The following is a 19,448-nucleotide window of genomic DNA, read 5'->3' as shown; positions in this document are numbered from 1 at the left end:
ATGAATATTTACTTCAGTCCATTAAAGTCTTACTAAATAAGTAGGTTATTTCCTATAAACAAACTCATTTTAAGGTGTCTTTATTGTGCTAAAGGAAAGACCATAATGTTGGAAAAACAATGCCTTTAAGTATGAAGGCATTTCACCAATGCCTTTCATATCATATACCTAGGAAGTGCTACTCTTCTTGCATAAAGTTAGCACTAGTTTAGATGAAGTATATTCTATAAATAAAAAGAAAAAAAAGCATGAGATGCAACAAAACCACTCCTAACACATTTAGGAAAAGAGTATCTCGTGAGATTCAGAGGTGAAGAACAGTGAGACTAGACAAGATTTGCAGTTTTCCATATGTAGAACTATTTGTTAGCACACTGTTGTTAATGAAGGTAAGGTTATTCATTAATTCAGTTAATAAAACAGTTGTATAAAGCAGATCTATGCAATGTTTCACAGATGCCTTAACTGTATCAGAAATTGAATTCGTTAATCCCCTGTATCACTAAAGCACAAGCAACAACCCACTTCCTCTCCAGTATTTGGACTTAATGAAGGGCACTGCCATTAACCCCTGCCCAAGTCAGGACCCAGGAGTTATCTCTGGTGTATGATTCTTCATCCCCTCATCCAATTAAGTTCTAACTTGTAAATATCTCTCTATATACCCACCTCTCTTCATCCTCATTGTCACCACACTAGCTCAAGCCCCAGTATCTCTTTCCTAGATTTACTGTGAAGCTTACTAAATTCACACCCTCCCATCCTTCATGATGCAGATTCAGCAATCTCAGAAAAATGCAAATCTGTAGTACATGCATATGACGGAACATTATACAGCTATGAGAACAATTAGCAACCACAGTCAACAATATGGATAAATCTCATAATCGTAATGCTTCACCCAAGTGAATACACATTGTATGCCCCTATTTATATTAAGTACAATGTAGGCAATATCCTCCATATACAGTGAGAAGTCAGGCAAGAGGTCTCCCTTGGTGGGCAAGAGACAGGACTGACTGGAAGGAAAATGAAGGGGAACTTTTAGGATGCTGATATTGTTGTTTTTCTTCATCTAGGTGTTCATCACATAGGTGTGCTAAGTCTGTGAAAATTCACGAAGCAGTATGCTAATGCTTCTATATGTATTAGGCATTAATAAAAAACTTTAGAAAAAAAAATCTGAGCGTCAATGTCTTCCCACTGTTCTCAAGCTAAAGCCCAAAGGCTAGTATCTAATATTGACTTGCAAGATATTTCACCGTACAGTGTCATCTTTCCCTCTCTCCGTGTCTTTTATCTTGAATGTGTTTTGTTCTTCTTCCTTTATGACTCTTACATCTGCTGTGCCCTTAGCTCAAAACACCACCTTGCCTTCTCATTTGGTTTGATTAAATCTAATGTCCCTCAGATTCAGTTAAAATTTCATTTGTGCAACCTGAAATAGATTGTAGTTTTGTTTTCTGACCTCAGATTGGGTTCTGATCACTTCCACTTTCCCACCATCACTCCTCTTTAGCTGTGAGGGCAGGCAATGTGTTTTGTTTACCACTCTATTCTCACAGTTCTCTATAGATTTGATGACTGAATATATTTACTTATATCCTATACAAGGACGTGGCAGGTAGCTGTGGCAAAGTTTCAAAGTCTAAGTACTCCAGTATAAATGATGAGATTGCTAAGAGTGTTTGATATGCAAACTTAAAGGAAATAAAAGTTAAACATTAAATTGTTTATACACAAAAAGATATAAGCCATGCATGTATCTTTCAGGCACAGGGAGAAGTCACTTTTAATGGTTCTTAAATGTATTTGAAAGTTCTATTTTAAACAATATCTATGGTAATAAAACTCTGAAACAAAATCATAAAGTTTTAGTCATTGTCTACACACAGATGTTGAATTGTTTTTAATGTCACGAAAACCAGGAACCTAGCACTGTTTTAATGAATTGAGTGAGGTCAACTAATTGCTTCAGTTTCTTTTAATGAGAAGTCACAAAAATATTTAATATCTATCTACCTCAACTTTTTTGAAAAAAACTATTTACAAATATTTGCAAATATTCCTAAGAAGAATTTAAGCTTTTCTAAATTAAACATAAAATAATTTGATGAATACAAAGTAAAAATATAACTTTTTATTTGTTAGAAATACCCATGGAAAATAACACAGGTGGCCTATCAAGTGGCATTCACAAACTGTTCTTCCTGGATAAAAAAGCAAAATCTGGTCACTTTTTATAATAGCAGAAAAGCATGAGTGATAACTACCTTAAGTGAAAATGTCCGAAGGAATAAAAACAAAACCAAAACTATAATGTTTCAGAAGTCAATACCATTTTCTATAATGAGCTTTATACTATAAATTTTAGAATCTTTAAGCACAATTTAATTTAAATAAAAAATATAAATAGTACAGCTGGGCATGGTGGCTCATGCCTGATAGTCCCAGCTCTTTGGGAGACCAAGGTGGGAGGATCGCTTGAGCTCAGGGGTTTGAGACCAGCCTGGGCAACATGATGAGACCCCCGTCTCAACAAAAAACACAGAAAAATTAGCTCAGCATCTTGGTGCACACCTGTGGTTCCAGCTACTCAGGAGGCTGAAACAGGAGGATGGCTTGAGCCTCAGAGGTCGAGGCTCCAGTGAGCTGTGGTTGTGCCACTGCACTCTAGGCTGGGTGACAGAGTGAGACCTTGTCTCAAACAAACAAAAAAATATATATATGGATATATAATATCATCTATATAAAAGTATATTAATATATTTTACATTTATATATATGTAGTGTTCCAAGTTGCCTTGTTTTCTACTCCTTTCAGAAAATAATTGTCTTTTATATAACATCCTCTATATTTCTTTTTATTCTAATATTCAGTTTATGGTATAAATGCACTAGATCTTAAACTAGGCAGACTTTACTGGTTAGTACCAAGAAAAAGAAAAAATAATATTTCCTTCATTTTGAGAAAAAGGTATTAGTTTCCCTAATTAATACAGAACTTGCTTACTTACCATTTCTAAAGTCCTACTATAACATTAAAAGCATCTTATGATCAAAAAGACCTTAAAATGCCCTTATCACTGAAAACCAACAGGAAGTGTATATAGGCTACTGAAGAATTTCTTTAACTAGGGTTCAGAACCTAAAACTGTCCCAATAATGCCCAGTGTAATGTTTATTAAGGCAATTACCTACTTTTTTAATATTCTGGAAATATAAAAATAACATTATTCACCTATTTTCTTGAGTTTTAGTTTTGGAGACAGAATTTGAAGAGAGAAAAAGGGATTTAAATTATAATGGATAATTCCTTTTCTTTTTAATCTATCTTCAAGAACTTATCACATAGCCTCATACTTTATTGGAAGGCCATTTTAATGTTAACTAGTAGAGTCCACTCAAAGGGCAGAACAGAAGAAAGCATTAGCAAACTAACTGCTCCCATTTAGGCTGGTATTTTCAAGTTTAATTAGTTGAAGTTAAATGTATTTTTCTTTTAAAAATCAGTATGAATTTTAAAGAAATAAACTTTAATTTTCACAAGTATTAAATTTCAAATGAAGATAAGTTAAATTCTTTCAACTTCAGTTTATCAGTAAAATGATCACATTAGACTAGATCACAGTGGTTGTCGACCAAATTTTTTGTTATGAAATCCTCTGAGAATATGATGAAAATATGGACATTCTCCCCAGTAAAAACACATATATACAAAATATGACTGTAATTTTAGGGGATTCAACAGAATCTCTGAAATCCATCCAAGGATCCCCAGGTAAAAAGGGTACTAGATTATATTTCAGGTCTTTTGTAGCTTTAAATTATGGTTTCAGAAATAAGGCAAAAGCCTTTAAACAAAAGGAAGTCAGTCTTGAGAATAAAAGTGAAAAATGCAGACACAACTCATTAGTTTACTCATTGCTGTTGAAGACATTAGCTAAGCAAGGCTGAACATCTTACTTATATAGATGTGTTAATCTGACAAAATAATTCATACCTGAGACATTAGAGGTTAGGCAAAATCAGATTCTTACATAAACCCAGGATATTTCTAGACATGAAAATGTGTGACATTCACAGCTTTCAAATGACAGTAAATTGTCTCCCTCATCCCAACTCCACCATCACCACCAACTCCAATACCTTCCTTCTTAGAGTGAGGAAGAAAAATATATACCGAAAGCTATATTTGAGACCTTTCAGGTGACTGTTTTGGGGGAGGGGCAATATTTTCAAATTCTGAAATTTCTTATTTAGAAATAATTATTGGATCTCACACACACACACACACACACACACACACACACACACACACACACAAACTTACCTGTGGTTCTTGTTCTCTGAAGGAAATGCAGTAATTGAAAACATCCCCACACTCTTGGGTACATTCTCCTAAGTGTGAATGGATTTGGAATGCACCATAGCTTAACTTTGGAACGCTAACTTATGCCACCCTGCACTGGCAGTTGGCATCCACCTGCCTACATAAATAATAATGTAAGCCTGTCATCTTGAGTCATGCACCTTGTGAAGGAAAAGTATTCTCTGGAGAGAGGTGGTGCAATGACTGTCTTTCGAGACAAACAGTCTCTTCTATAGCACTTGAGGGTAGATCCACACTACTAAGGAGGTGACTGTATGCTTCAAAAATGTACTAAAATCAATACATTAAAAATGTTAAAGAATGAAAACGGAAAGATGTTCCTCTGTAAAAGAAGCTCTTAGGAGACTGATTGCTGAACTGGTCAGGATCCAATGGTCAACACCAGAGCTAAGAATTACAAGTACTTAAATACTTGTAACGAAGTAAGCCTAATCCCTGCATTCAGTAGCCTTGTATTTTGTGTTCATGCTTGACTACCAGAGGTTTATGTGACAGATGCAATGGAAACCAATGGTAGGAAAATACCTTGAAATGGCCAAGACCCTGAAAACTGCTGTGGTTACTGTCAAAGGAGAATTAGTTTTCAAGAGAAATGATAGCAGCGTTGTGCTGTTAGATGATCTACATTTTATAAATTCAAGTAATCATTCAAAAATTGTAAAATTTCGTAAACCTTATATCTTAATGTAATAATTTAGATGTAAAATGTTTAAATATGTATGGACTAAATCCTTGCCATTTGAGCCCCTCTTCTGTCTTAAACATACTAGGTCATTAGGAAGAAATGGGCTAGAGATATCTTCTAGTTTACAGGCTGATTTTTGGAGGATTATTAAAATCCTGCGCAGAGAAAGAGATGCTCTATTTTCTAGTCCTCCAAGATTCCAGGCAGCCTGATGATGTCCTCTTCTCAAGTTAAACCAGAGAAGGGTTGTCAGATAAAATATAGGACACCCAGTCAAATTTGAATTTCGAATAAGCAGTAACTTCTTTGGTAAAAGTTTGCCTCAAATATAGCATGGGACAAAATTACACTAAACCATTATTTGTTATTTACTTGAAATTCAAATTACACTGGACATCCTGTTTTGTTTTGTTTTTTCCTTCTGCTAAATTTGGAAACTCTAAACAAGGGGAGTTCGCAGGGTCATCCAGTGGATTTTGGCATGTATGAGGCTAAAATGAGAATTCCACTCATTGTCTAGATCTGAACTGTGGAATATGGTACCTACTAGCCACGTGCGGCTATTGAGCACTTGAACTGTGGCTAGTCCAATATAAGATGTGCTGTGAGTATAAAATACACAGATTTTGAATGCTGAGTATGAAAAAAATCTCATAAAACATTCTATTAATTATATGTTGGAATAATATTTTTGTATATATTGGGTTAAATAAAATGTAATGAAAACTAATTTTGCCTCTTTTTATTTTCTTAATATGGCCATTAAGAACTTAAAATTACATACGTAGCTTCTATTTATGGCTCGAATTATCTTTGTACCATATAGTGCTGGTCTAGATGTCTCCAAAGGCTAGAATTTCTTTGTTGTCCCATCTCTAAAAAAAAATCAGTACGGTAAACACATAAGACTGCTTCTCTCACCTCCCTCCAGCTACCAGAGTAGGTAAAGAGCATGATCATGCCAGGGAAACAAAATTTATAGTAGGGACTAGCATGAACTGGCTAGGAACACTTCAAAAACAAAAACAAAATGTGGCATACAGATACCGATGAAAGACAAATCAGAAACCTGATCTTTGACAAATTCTTACATGATTAGAAAAAAGAAATAAACACTAATATAGGTATGTGTATATGTACACATGAAAATCAAATCTTCTCCCAGATATTAGTTTCAATGGAAGAAGCCCTCGGTACCATTATTTTGGGTTTTCCCTCCTACCTATGATCAAAATCATAGAACAACAGTTGATTTTGTCACCTCCTATGAATTGAGATGGATAAGTTATTAATAAGAATTGTTAAGGAAATGATCTTATTTTTGATACTGTAGATACAGACGGCAAGATCTCATAGATCTCATAGGTCCCCATTTTATTTATACATCCTACAAAACTGATCTGAAATTAGAACACGAGTTCTAGGATAGTGAAATAAACTTTTCTTTTCTAAAGTATGTTGCTAAAATATGTACTATCATAAAACAAAACTCACTTTAAAAAAGGTGTATGTTTAGGGAGACTTCTTAGATTACAAGTATTTTAGTTAGAATAAACCTTTAGTTTGGTTAAGAAATAATAACCTGTTTAGTTATTTCTATAACCCACCTTATAATTTTCATTAGGTTGGAGATTTAATTCAAAGTGTTTTCTCAACTGGCAAAAAGGGATAACATATTTGTCCATTCTATTCTATGCTATTATAAAGGCTAAGATATTTAGCATGCTCTTGCAAATAAAAATTAAAAAAAACTGTACGTATATATAGATTATCTCTATACACCCAATAATCTATATTTCTTTTCTAATAAAACCTACATGATATCTGTTTTGAAGATTTAAATCTTTTAAGTTTACCTGCAGTTATAATAACCAAGACTAGTTCTAACTCCTCGACCATTTACATACAAAAAAAGTAAATTGGTTCTCAAGGTTTTTCAAAAAGGTCCAATTTGTATTTTTTCCTCATTCTAACAGCAAACACACAAGTATTTTTCCTCTTTAATATCTTCTATTATACAGCTATAGGAAGAACAACGGTTTTGAAAAATTATCCTGCATCAGAGGTAGGGTTGCTAGACAAAAATCAGCAGATTACTCCCCACTTTAATGGTCCATAAGAAGTTCACATTTTGTAGAACTAAAGTCTTCAGGATCACTTTAAGAGCTTTAAGAAAAGATAAATGAAAGGGACAAATTTAATGTCTTCACCAGTACTTTAAGTCTCATTGTTAATACTACAGAATACTGGGAATTACAATCTAAAATGTTTTACTAGACATTTAGTCTCTTGTTATTCAAAGTATTCTTGCCTAAGACTGACCTAATCCTAATATTAATGACATTTTCGAAATCAGCATGCTTCTGCTCTTCTCCATAGTCAATTAATGATATCCAAATGACATTTGAATTTAAGACTGGTCATTTTGAGAGACATCTATAGATTATATTAGTTAACAATAAGGTTTTCTGATGTCAGAATTTGGAAGTAAAGCACAGACATTAATTTGCTTATCCTTCATAAGGTTTCCCTGATAGAACCAACATATTTATTCTTCATTTCCTGAAGACAGGAAGAAGTTGTAAGACGAAAAAGAAATTGCCAATTTTAAGTAATTTTTTCAAGTTTTAAGTAATATTTTTCAATTAAGATCTGACATAAAAAATTTTATGATTACATACCTTTTAAAGATTAGATGACCTTTGCTTCCACACTTTCTGAAGTGTAATACAGAATACAAAATGGTTTGAGGGGCTTTCCCTGAAGTAAAGATAAGATACAGCTTCAAAAAGATCATGAAAAGTAATTCTTCACAGCTGGCTCTATCAACTGAAGCTATTATGTCACTAGATTGCCTAAATGGTGTCATTGTTTCAAAATTCTTAATCCATATCTCAAGACATACAAGAAAAATTTTTGATTAACTCCAGCAGTTATTAACTGAATAAATGCAGACTAAACTGGAAGGTTTTACTATGACTGGGATTTTTTTTAAAGTAAAACAAAACAAAAATATCCATACATCCCCAGGACATGCTTCACTTCTAAATAACGAAAAGCACCTCTTGATGAATGTGTGATGTCCTACCCACAGGTAGGGCCTCCCTTCTGTGCGAACGTCTGAAGGTCTCACACCCTCAATGGAGCATTCCAAAACCAGTCTTAGGTTAGGAGCCTGGGCCCACGAGTGTGCACTCACTACACAGTGCTTACCTTTAGAGAACAAGGTGGCTGACACAAACTGATCAAGTTCTCACACCCCACACCTCCAAGAACACTGAAAAAGATCTGCAGATCTTTCTTGGTGCAGGAGGGACCTCTTTATATTCCTCTTGTGGTGGAAGTTTAAGGTTGTCCTAAGGGAGGAGAGAAGAGTAAAAGATTATACTGGGATCAAACTATTTTGATCAAGCTTATCTTCTATATTACAAAATGAAGTTTTGAGAACAGAAATTAGATAAAATCATGAGTATTCTTAAAATCACATTCTCTTCATTCACAAAAATATCTCCTCTAAATACTGCATGTTTCAAATATTACTCCTTAGACCCAAAACCTTAAGTGACTAGTTCAACATCCACCCCCATCACTGGGAAGTTGAGAAGTTGAAAAAATACAGAAAAACTGTAGGTTGCCAAATGATCATAATTATAAATTCCATTTTAAAATATATATACATAGCTAAACTCATTAAAAAGCAATGGGTTAGAGCCAGCGGAAATTCTGTCCTCCCTTTGTATTTCCAAGATAATGGCATATGCTATTTCCTAACAACAGAAAAGTAGCCCTTTGAATTCTGTTAAATGCCACAGAATAATCTACTATAATTAATAAATTAATTTAGTATGAATCAACAGTAGAATCAATCTACTAGAATGTAAAACTCCATGAGGAAAGGAATTTTGGTTTTGTTTTTTGACACACTGATTATCTGTAGTACCTTAAATAGGTCCTGGTACATAGAAAGCATTTTAAAAAATTGCGATGATTAAGAAGAATATTAACCGATTAGTCAATATTCTTAAGGTGAAACTTACATAAAATTAAACAAAAACCTACAAATGTTCTGAGGAGTTTGAAAATATGTTATATAAAATAATACTAATATAGATGTTTAATTATATATTAAATAACTGTTAGGAATACAATATTTTAAGATGCCATATCCTAAAATATTAATGACAAAAATACTATAAATAAATCATTATAATCCAAATTCCTTGAAAGGAATGGAATGCTTTAAGATCAGGAAATCATGCAGAGTATTTTAAAATATATTATTAAATATCAAATATCAGAAGAAGAATATTAATACAGATGAAAAGCAATATACCTTCTTAATGCTTTAGTATTAACTGTTTTCATCCATAGAGAGTAGATCGATATAAATAAAGTGATAAAATGGTTGTCTATAGCTATAATTCTGCCTAAGTAAATCATTACCATAATATTAAATTAAAATCAGAAGATGCCATTCTATATTTCCTTATGTATTTTCGTATGTACATTTTGTCTGACTATAATAAACAGAATATTATTCATTTGTTTTCCTTTAACTTTTAAACTATTATTAAAAACACAGAGACTTATTTCCTTTAAATGTTTTCCAACTGTTTCCAAATTTGATAAATTAGAGAGAAAAAGAAGAAACGCTGGCCAGGTGTGGTGGCTCATGCCTGTAATTCCAGCACTTTGAGAGGCTGAGGCTGGCGGATTACGAGGTCAGGAGTTCGAGACCAGCTTGGCCAACATGGTGAAACCCCATCTCTACTAAAAATACAAAAATTAGTTGGATGTGGTGGCAAGCGCCTGTAATCCCAGTTACTTGGGGGGGCTAAGGCAGGAGAACTGCTTGAACCTGGGAGGTGGAGGTTGCAGTGAGCTGAGACTGTGCCACTGCACTCCAGCCTGGGTGACAGAGCTAGACTCCGTCTCAAAAAAAAAAAGAAAAGAAAAAGAAAAAAAGAAAAGAAAAAAGAAAACAAAATGAAGAAATGCTGAAATCAACATTTGATTAATGGTACTGATAAAGGACTGAATGTGTATACTTTAAAAAAATCTAACATGTAAGGCCAGTAGAATCAGAAGAAACAACTATTTATAAAGTACTTGATTTCATTTGACCCCAAAATCTGAAAATGTAGAATTAAAACTCAAAACATACTGGACAATGTGTATGGTGCATTTCATTTCAGAGTATAAAATACCATTTGCTGTATGGTCAAAACCACAGTAAGAAAACAGGTAGTAAACTTGGGATGTATGTCCACCCTTCATCACTAAAATAATGCTTTAATGGACAGATTATGCTTTGATTACAGGCAATAAAAACCTTTCCACATTTCACAAATAATTCAATTTTATATCTTGTCTCAGGGAATCAGGTTTAAATGTGAAAAAGAGATTTAAAACAAAACTTTAGACTAAAGAAATAAGTGTACACAAAAACTCACTTAATTTAAAAACAATTTTCCTATTTTCAACATGCTGTAAGCCTTTGAACTAACTTTGGGGGGAAGGGGTGAAAACAGTTACAAAGTACTAAGTGCAGATAATACGACAAAAAGAGCTAAAAAGGGGTAAAGACCAACCCAAAGTTGGAAATCTTACTGAAAGGAAAAGACTACTAAGCTGGTTGAGTCTCCCAGGCCAACAAGGGCGAAAAGGGAAAACAAACTCCCTAGACAGAGGAACTGACTAGAAACTTACTCATGCTGTGGATAATGGATCCCTTGCCTCATTTCCACCTGCAGAAGATGAAGTCTAAGTTTACCATATTCAGAGATTTAGGGCTGAATTTTTCATTTCACCTGCAAATACAGATTACTAAGCCATACTAACATCTCATTTTAAGTTCCCTACAAAACTTCCCTGAGCAATCTACTTTCCTTCTTTAATGCTGGCCAATGTTTCTCACGCAATCTGTAGTGAAAGACTGTTTTCTCCCTTTTGGGGACCCAGGTTCATGGACTACCGTCATGACTATACTCAGCTCACTTTGCATAAAACTCTCCAGGCAACTGCGTTAAAACTACTGGCCTGAACTTCAACCGGGGAGACAGGTGATGTGCCTGAATGACACAAATATCACATGGCTGTAAGAGTTTCTAAACCAATATAGAAATTGAGAGTAAGCATTTAGTCATGGATTGATTAACAAACCAGCACCAGTTCATAGCCCATTCTTCAAGGAGCACTGGTGTAGGTCATGCGCAGTGGCTCAAGCCTGTAATCCTAGCACTTCGGGAGGCCAAGGCAAGTGAATTATTTGAGCTCAGGAACTCCAGACCAGCCTGGGAAACATGGAGAAACCCCGTCTCTACTAAAAGTACAAAAATTAGTCAGGAGTGGTGGAACATGCCTGTAATTCCAGCTACTTGGGTAGCTGAGGCAGGACAATCACTTGAATACAGGAGGTGGTGAGGCTGCAGTGAGCTGAAATCACACTACTGCACTCCAGTCTGGGCGACAGAGTGAGACTCTATCTCAAAAAAAAAAAAAAAAAAAAAAAAAAGCACTAATCTAAGTTACAGGAGTAGGATCTTATGTTACTCTTCCTTTATACTTTTTACTGAATCCAATTTCCAGTTTTAATTCTCATGTGCCCTTAGAAACTACTGACAAATAAACTATCAGTGACTGATTCCAGTATATTCCTTTTACCAGTTCTTTCTACAACACTGTACAATAGAACTTTTGGCAATGGCAAAAATGTTCTATAGCTTCATTGTTCGAAAAGGCAAACATTAGCCATATATGACTACTGCTCATTTGGAATGTGGCTAGTGTGATTAAGGTACTGAATTTTTAATTTTACTTAAACAGATGTAAGTTTAAATTGCACATCAGGCTGGTGGCTACCATACTGAACAGTACCAGTACAATGCTGAAGTGTTACATTATTGTCATGTAACCTTTTAAAAATTTAGCATTTTAAAAAAATTACCTATTTCCTTCAATCCTAACACAAATATTTTAATTATGACTATCACTTTCCATACGTACATTTAGTTATGTACATACTTGTAATCATGGCATATAAATTTACTATTTTATTTTCACTTATACCAAACATTTCTCTTTATTTCTGGAACTACACTATCTAAAATTGTGGCCACTAGCCCCATTTATCTATTTAAATTTAAATAATTAACATTAAATTAAAAATTCAGTTTCTCAGTTGCCCTAGCCACATTTTAAGGGCTCAGCAGCCACATGTGCCAAATGGCTACATATTGGATAGTGCAATCACAGAATATTTCTATCACCACAAAGCTCTCCTGAACAGTGTTGTTCTATAGTCTCCAAAAATAATCATTTAAATGTAATATTTTATGTTGCTGTTCTATAATTAGTTTTTAAGCTGGGCATTTTATATATATATATATGTAAAATAATTAGCATAGTGTTTCCTAATATGTTATTATGAAATTTCTAAACATTATTGTGACTCTCAGCATGTATTACTGCATTATTTCCCAAAAGGGTCTGTTAGCACTGCTTACTTGCAAATATTAGATTTCTCTTTTTAAAAATTTATGTCCTTTAATACAATGAAAAAAACCTCATATTTCTTTATTATTCATGTGTCTTTACTTTCATATTCTTAATCTGTCATATTCATTTCTCACTTATGTATTATAATCTTGATATCTAAACTTGCATATTTACAACAATATATAACTTATACCTATTATCACTTTCCTTATAATTTTTAATGTAGTTTCCACAATTTTCTATTATCCTTTTAATCATAATATTTTGGTCCAACAAAAATTTTTAATATTCAAGTATCTTCTGGGTGAGTTCTACTAATTCTTCAAATATGAGATGTAAAGGTATTCTCTCTGTTACCTTTTCTTTTTTATTCCTATGGTTGTGTAATATACGGATGATTTTTGTCTAATTAGTTTTAAGACATATCACTGAATAGTACTATCCAACACCACTGAACAAATATCCTTTAAGTGCCCCTCTCTTAGGAAAGATTATTTTGTCATACATTTAGTTACTGTATATGATAACAGATGGGACAAATTTTGTATTCCTCATAGTGCTCCAGTAATCTATGTTTTACAAAATGAAAACAAGCTTATTTGTTCAGTATTCCTCTTAAGAAAACAACTGTATTAATTCAGTAAAGTATGAGTAGAAGAAAAGAATGAACATAGATAGCATGTTCCACTCAAAAATTAAGAAAATCATTTGCTGGTCTATCACCTATTCAGGATTTCTTAACTCACAAAATGTTAAATGTTTGAAACTAGTAAAGGGGCTGGTTTCACATATGTATTGACACTGGCAGAAACCAAGGTGGCATGCAAGCAGAGGCAGAGAAACTAAGGTCTGAGTCAGCCACAGGGATTTGTGTAAGTCACGGGATCCAGGCCATGTCTCTTGACTCTCACCGGCCATGAAGTCGGGCTTCAAGGGAAATTTACTTTGTTTTTTTTTTTTTTTTTTTTTTTTTTTTGAGACAGTCTCACTGTCGCCCAGTCTGGAGTGCAGTGGCACAATCTCATCTCACTGCAACCCCTGCCACCTGGGGTCAAGTGACTCTTCTGCCTTAGCCTCCCGAGTAGCTGAGACTACAGGCGTGCACCACCACACCCAGCTAATTTCTCTATTTTTAGTAGAGATGGGGTTTTACCATGTTGGCCAGGCTGGTCTTGAACTCCTGATCTCAAGTGATCTGACCTCCTTGGCCTCCCAAAGTGCTGGGATTACAAGCGTGAGCCACTGGGCCTGGCCAGAAAATGTATACTTAAATCTCCAACAGACAGAGAAGTCTCTTCTGGTATCTGGGTAACACACCTATTCTTACATCATCATCACTGTTTTAGACATTCTTGCTTTAAAACCTTTTGATATTTAGTAGGACGAGACTTCTCATTACAGAATCACTATAAAATAAATCACTAGAAATTTTGGAAGTTAGAGGTTAAACCCAAAAATCTTACTTTTAGTCAAATAATTTGCCAATATTCTTGATTTAGAAACAGTTTCTCTGCTTTTATTTGAATCTTAAAATTGTTTCAAATACACTGGATGTTAATTTATTTTCCAAAGATCTAACATCTCTCTCAAATGTATTGCTAGATATTACATCGTTTGTTGCAATTCTGAATGGGATATTTTCCCAGAATGATTTTCACATGGTATAAAGATACAGTATATCTGGTACTTTATTAAATTTTTATTATTTAATAAATCATTTTAGAGCTGATTGCTGTAGATTTTTCTAGATAATTAATCATGTCATCTACAAATGAAATATTTTAGTTTTATTTCTTCTTCAGGTTTTGTTCATTACCAGTATTAAATAAAAATGGGGTTAGTGATGACGGGTGGACAAATTTGTAACAAAAATGGTGATTGTTTCATTCCTGAATTTAAGTTTATCACCATTTATTCTACAGCTTTGGTTAGATGATACTGTTCAGCTTGTTGATTTAATGAAGTATCATGTTCTTTGAGGCTCAACTCATCACTCACAGTTATTTCATCACAAAATAATGTATTTGACCAAATAAAACTGGCAAAAGGTCTCCAACTCCTATAGGACCAACACTGTATATATGTTGACTACATAAAATTATCCTGATACTGACAACGTTCATTAAAATAAGAAATATCTTTATTCTGTGAAAGTCCTCAGAGTCACATGTAAAATAGGTACTCAAGGTGCTATGTGGTCCTTGCAGTATCTCAAGTTACCTTTGGAATGTTACACTAGGTATTAACAGATGATATTTAAGACACCAGGCTTCTTTCCAGTATACATTGTTTCAGATAAATCAAAAAGGTGTAATTTATGAAGGAAACTTCTTCTTACAGAAGAATTTCCACTAATAAATGTGTAAGGGGTGGCAGATTTAAAAATTCATTCTCTTGCAAACCCTAATGACAGAATTGATTTGGAGAACAGTCAGCAACTTTTCCCACGGGAGGAAAGATTGGTAGAAAACTCTCAATAGAGAGATTGGGTTGGCACCACTGCCCAATTTTAGCATTGATAAGAGTATGACAAGCAGACATTATATGCTCCTTGATGTGATGCAGTATGAAGAAACAGTTCCATGTGCAAAGTATTCCTGCATGCCTTCCATCCTCAACACCAAAACCAAAGCTGAACCTGAAACTAATTAAGTCTTTCAAGCCAACTTTTAGTTCGCAGGAAATTCAGAGGCTACAGGAACAAGTTAGAAGGCAACAGAGAAATCCAGAATGGAGGATATTCTACAGGATAGTTTACCCAGTTTTTTCATTAACACATTAAAGGGAAAAGGGGAGGGAAGGAGGAAGAAGGGGGTTTGGGGGTGAGTGAGGTAAACAAGTGGTGGGAAAGAAAAGACCTTTTAATTATACAGCAGTCCAAACAACCAAATGCTATACAGATCTTGGTTGGATTCTGAAAGAACAATCTAAACGTAAAAAGGACATTTTTCAGTTAAAAGCAGAGAAACTGAATACAGAGAGAATATGAGGTGGTTAGTAGTTATTGTTAATTTTGTTGGATGTAATAAAGGTATTGTGGTTATATAAGAAAAATTCCTTCTTTTAAAGAAATGCATATGAAAGAATGCAGGAGTGAAAAGACTTGAAGTCTGGGATCTACTTTAAAAATAGTTGAGGAAAAAGAAGAGAGTAGATGAAGCAAATGTGGCAAAATTTTGCTGATTGTTAAATCTAGGCCATGGGGTTTATTACACTAGTCTCTCTTAAGTGTATGCCTGAAATTTTTTACACTAAGGTTTTTTTTTTTTAATTCAAGCCTTTGGAACATCATCTATTAAGCCAGATATATTCTAGTACAAGTAAATATGGAATTACCTACTCTACTATATAACGAACATTCACGAGCAGTACAAAACAAGGATGCAAAAGATACGGCAGACTGCCCTGTGTGTGACTGGCACAGATTGACCCACGCTTTAAAAGATTTATTTTAAAATTAAATTTGACTTGCACATACTGTTACTGTGTGTGTGTAGAAAGAATATATGTGTATATATATGTATATATATATACACACACAGAGAGAGAGACAGACAGACAGAGACAGAAAAAGAGGAGAATTGGTTAAGTTTCAGTCCAACAATACCTTAGGAAAGAGAATATCAGAAAATGAAATAATTTGTACCCTCAAAACAAACAAACAAAAGAGATGACAGTTTATGGGGTATACTGAACCAGTACAAAGTAGGTTATTTTATGTTGTTACCTTCCTACCTCCATTTCTCAACAAAAGCATGCTGCCTTCTGATTTTATTAGAGCATATTACTTGGGTCTGCATTCTCACAAATTATCTCATGATTCAAATGAGTCCTTCTGTAACTAACTGATACTCCCCTCTCTAAAAGAGACCAACTGGTCTCAGCTACATAATAGGAGTATAAACTGTTACAGCCTCACTGTGCCAAACATAAAATAACGGGGTATTTTATACTTAGTAGGTACTCAGGTATTTAAGTGAATGATAGGTATATGTATCAACAGAAATATTTGAGAGATTTATACGCTCCTCTTAAAAATGTAAATGCATTTCTACTGGGTAAAGTACATGGCAGAAATACATTTGAACTAGAAAGACTTTCTTATATCCCTTGTGTATCTACCACCTGCACATCCACCACTGTTCTAGTGGTTATCATGTATCCCCTCTTATACAAAGTATGTTACAGTGTAAGATGGGATTGTCTGTTTGTCACCTTATTTTCACAACAATTAGGTTATTTTTTGCTGGTCCTTGACTTTACTTTTACCGTGTTAATGATTACTTAATGATATATAAGATTTTTTCCCCAATACACCGCAGTAAGCAAATCCTCCCAAGAAAAAAAAGTTTTTCTTTACGCTAATTGAATTTTCTTATAAACTTGTCTTCTTTCATATCATTGCATGTTAATATTTAATATTATATATTTAATATTACATAATTGTATCTTTTCCCTAAAAATGTTTGCATTCAAAACCCTTGAAAATATTTTAACATCTAAAATACAGTAATTCAAAATATAGGTAGTCTTAAATCTTCTACTAAGCCTATAAAGGGCATCTATTTTAACTCTCATTTTTTATCTGAAAAATTATTCTAATTATGACTATGTTAGCATCTAGTAGTTCAATAAGCACAGCAACTAACTTCTGATGAGTATGTATGTATGAGTATATACATATACTTTTTTACTCAATGTTCACTTGATGCTAAACCTATCAGAGCATAGACCTCCACGACACTAATAAACAACTGGATAATATAGTGGTGCTTCAGTGAGCAGATCACAAATACTCTCCCGCCTTTTTAGGAGTAGTGATTCAGTGAGAACATTTGGTAAAGCAGACGTGAGTATACATACATCCAATATATATGTATTATCCATATATTATATAATGTATATATTATATATGGATATTTATATTATCTGTCTATGCATAATATATACATACTATATATATGTATGATATATGTATTGTGCTTGTTTTAGTTCCTTTCCCTTAAAATGCTAATCTGCTGTTTAATGAATTGGTAAATTATTCTGAGAACTCATGACACTGTCTGAAGAACTAGAAATGCCCTCTAGTGTTGCCAACAGCAGAGTTTGTAATGACTGCTGTCATTATTTAAAATTCATTTATAAAAAGTTAATTCAAAGGTAAACAAATTATTTAGTACATGTTGAAACTTTATTTAAAAAGGAATTTTAATCAACAAGAAAATGTCTGAAAATGAGGCACACTAAAGGAATTTCATGTTTCCCTTGTGAAGTTAAAAAACATTACACTTGACATTAATGAAAAGATCGCAAAGTGATGCAGAAACACTAGATAATTTATGTGGGAATATCTGAGAAGCCTTGAAATAGTACATGTAAAACTCAATTTGAAGGGCATTATACAAAATAATTTTTAGAATAGAATTCTTTTACTCAGTAAATTTGGAAATTAAAACCACCTTAATGAATTCCTCTCATTTCAATTTGGGAAAGAAATATTGGATGGCCATGTGTGTATACACACGATATATATAATAAGGGTACTGAGATGCTAAGATGGCCTCATAATTGTAACAGGTTCATATATCTAAGATACCTCTGTTTATTAGTGGCAGAGCAGGAACTAGTGGCAGAGCAGTCTCACATTTTGTGCTTTAAGTATTCTTTACATGGCTCTTGTCTCCCTAGAGCCTAAGTAGAAGGATAGCATAATTCTTTTAGGCTACCATGATACTATATTAATAGCTAGTGGTTTTCAATAGACAACTGTTGACTGGTTACATTAGAACTAATTGTGGTCATGGGAAACCATACTTGTAGTACTGAAATAATTTTCTCTCATTCAGCATCTTACAATGAAAAAAAAATTCTGTATTGCAAAAAAAAAAAAAAAAAGACACTAGGTTATAAAGTATCTCTAGATGGCATCTCTAGAAAGCCTTTGAGTGACTGCTGAAATTCAGCTAAAGAGGCCCCAAAGCTTAGATGAGAATTTCACGGACTTTTTTTTTGTTTAGCAGTAATAATAAAAGCTCTTTACATACCACTCTGAAATATATATTGTATGTATTTTAAGCATCATCTGCAATTATTTCCGTTGGCACAACTTTATGAATGAAGCAGGATATTTTTAAGATGAGGAAATTATTATTGTAATTATTAACTAAAACAACATATGGAGCCCTTTCTATGCACTTTCCATATGCTAGATACTCTTCTAGCATTTTCATATATCAAATAATATATTTTTCCACAAGATATATACTCTTATTATCCCCATTTTACAGGTAAGGAAACTGAAGCACAGTAGAGTTATGCAGGTTTCCTAAGACTGCAAAGCTGGTAAGTGTCAGAGTTAATACTCACACCCAACCAGTATGACTCTGGAGCCCAACTTCTTAACTATTACAACTTGGTAGTTTTAAATGTAAAACTGCTTCATATAATTGTCTTAAATGACGTTTATAATGTATATAATATGCATGTGTTTATTCTGCTCATATTCACGTTTCTTGGTATCTCAGAAACCTGCAGATCTTTCCACAGCAGTTTCTCATTTTAAATAAGTTATACAAATAATAAGAACTTTTTCAGTCTCTACTAACTGCAAAGAACGTCAGTCTAATTTTTACATCAAAATGAACAACCTCATTTCATGAGGAGTATGAGCGGATTAAAATTAATATACTACAGATCAATTGCAAGGTATACTTAAGGACTGCTTTGTTTTTATAATATCATAAGCCACTATACTTTATTGTAATTACTTGCTTAATGTCTACATTCCCTGCAAGACCTATGGCATCACATCAGTCTTATGCAATGACTGACATACAGCAGGTTGTTGGTAAGAATATACTGAATGAATAAATG

General features: G+C 33.6%; 1 protein-coding gene across 56 annotated transcripts in view, besides 3 other annotated features; it reads right to left on the bottom strand.

Moving 5' to 3' along the window:
- Positions 1 to 19,448, bottom strand: part of ZEB1 (zinc finger E-box binding homeobox 1) — a 211,388-nt gene that overhangs the window by 134,247 nt on the left and 57,693 nt on the right. For 18 of the 56 annotated variants that reach the window (NM_001323638.2, NM_001323642.2, NM_001323645.2 and 15 more), the window contains one exon: positions 8,292 to 8,434. The exons of 22 other annotated variants lie outside the window; for them this stretch is intronic. The gene's annotated coding sequence lies outside the window, so the exon portion shown is untranslated. Of the gene's footprint in view, positions 1 to 7,759; positions 7,839 to 8,291; positions 8,435 to 10,787; positions 10,826 to 19,448 lie in introns of those variants that run through there. 16 more of the 56 variants (XM_047425691.1, NM_001323646.2, XM_047425684.1 and 13 more) reach the window with 2 other exon arrangements.
- Positions 1,297 to 1,436: an enhancer, noted in NCBI's record as "active region_3239". NCBI's record gives its function as "activates an Ori minimal core promoter by ATAC-STARR-seq in GM12878 lymphoblastoid cells {active_cell/tissue: GM12878}" and the evidence as "EXISTENCE:reporter gene assay evidence [ECO:0000049][PMID:35858748]".
- Positions 1,527 to 1,576: an enhancer, noted in NCBI's record as "active region_3238". NCBI's record gives its function as "activates an Ori minimal core promoter by ATAC-STARR-seq in GM12878 lymphoblastoid cells {active_cell/tissue: GM12878}" and the evidence as "EXISTENCE:reporter gene assay evidence [ECO:0000049][PMID:35858748]".
- Positions 11,345 to 11,494: an enhancer, noted in NCBI's record as "active region_3237". NCBI's record gives its function as "activates an Ori minimal core promoter by ATAC-STARR-seq in GM12878 lymphoblastoid cells {active_cell/tissue: GM12878}" and the evidence as "EXISTENCE:reporter gene assay evidence [ECO:0000049][PMID:35858748]".

The sequence above is a fragment of the Homo sapiens genome, chromosome 10, assembly GCF_000001405.40.
Source record: "Homo sapiens chromosome 10, GRCh38.p14 Primary Assembly".
NCBI classification, from domain to species: domain Eukaryota; kingdom Metazoa; phylum Chordata; class Mammalia; order Primates; family Hominidae; genus Homo; species Homo sapiens.
This window is presented reverse-complemented; position numbering and strand designations above follow the sequence as displayed.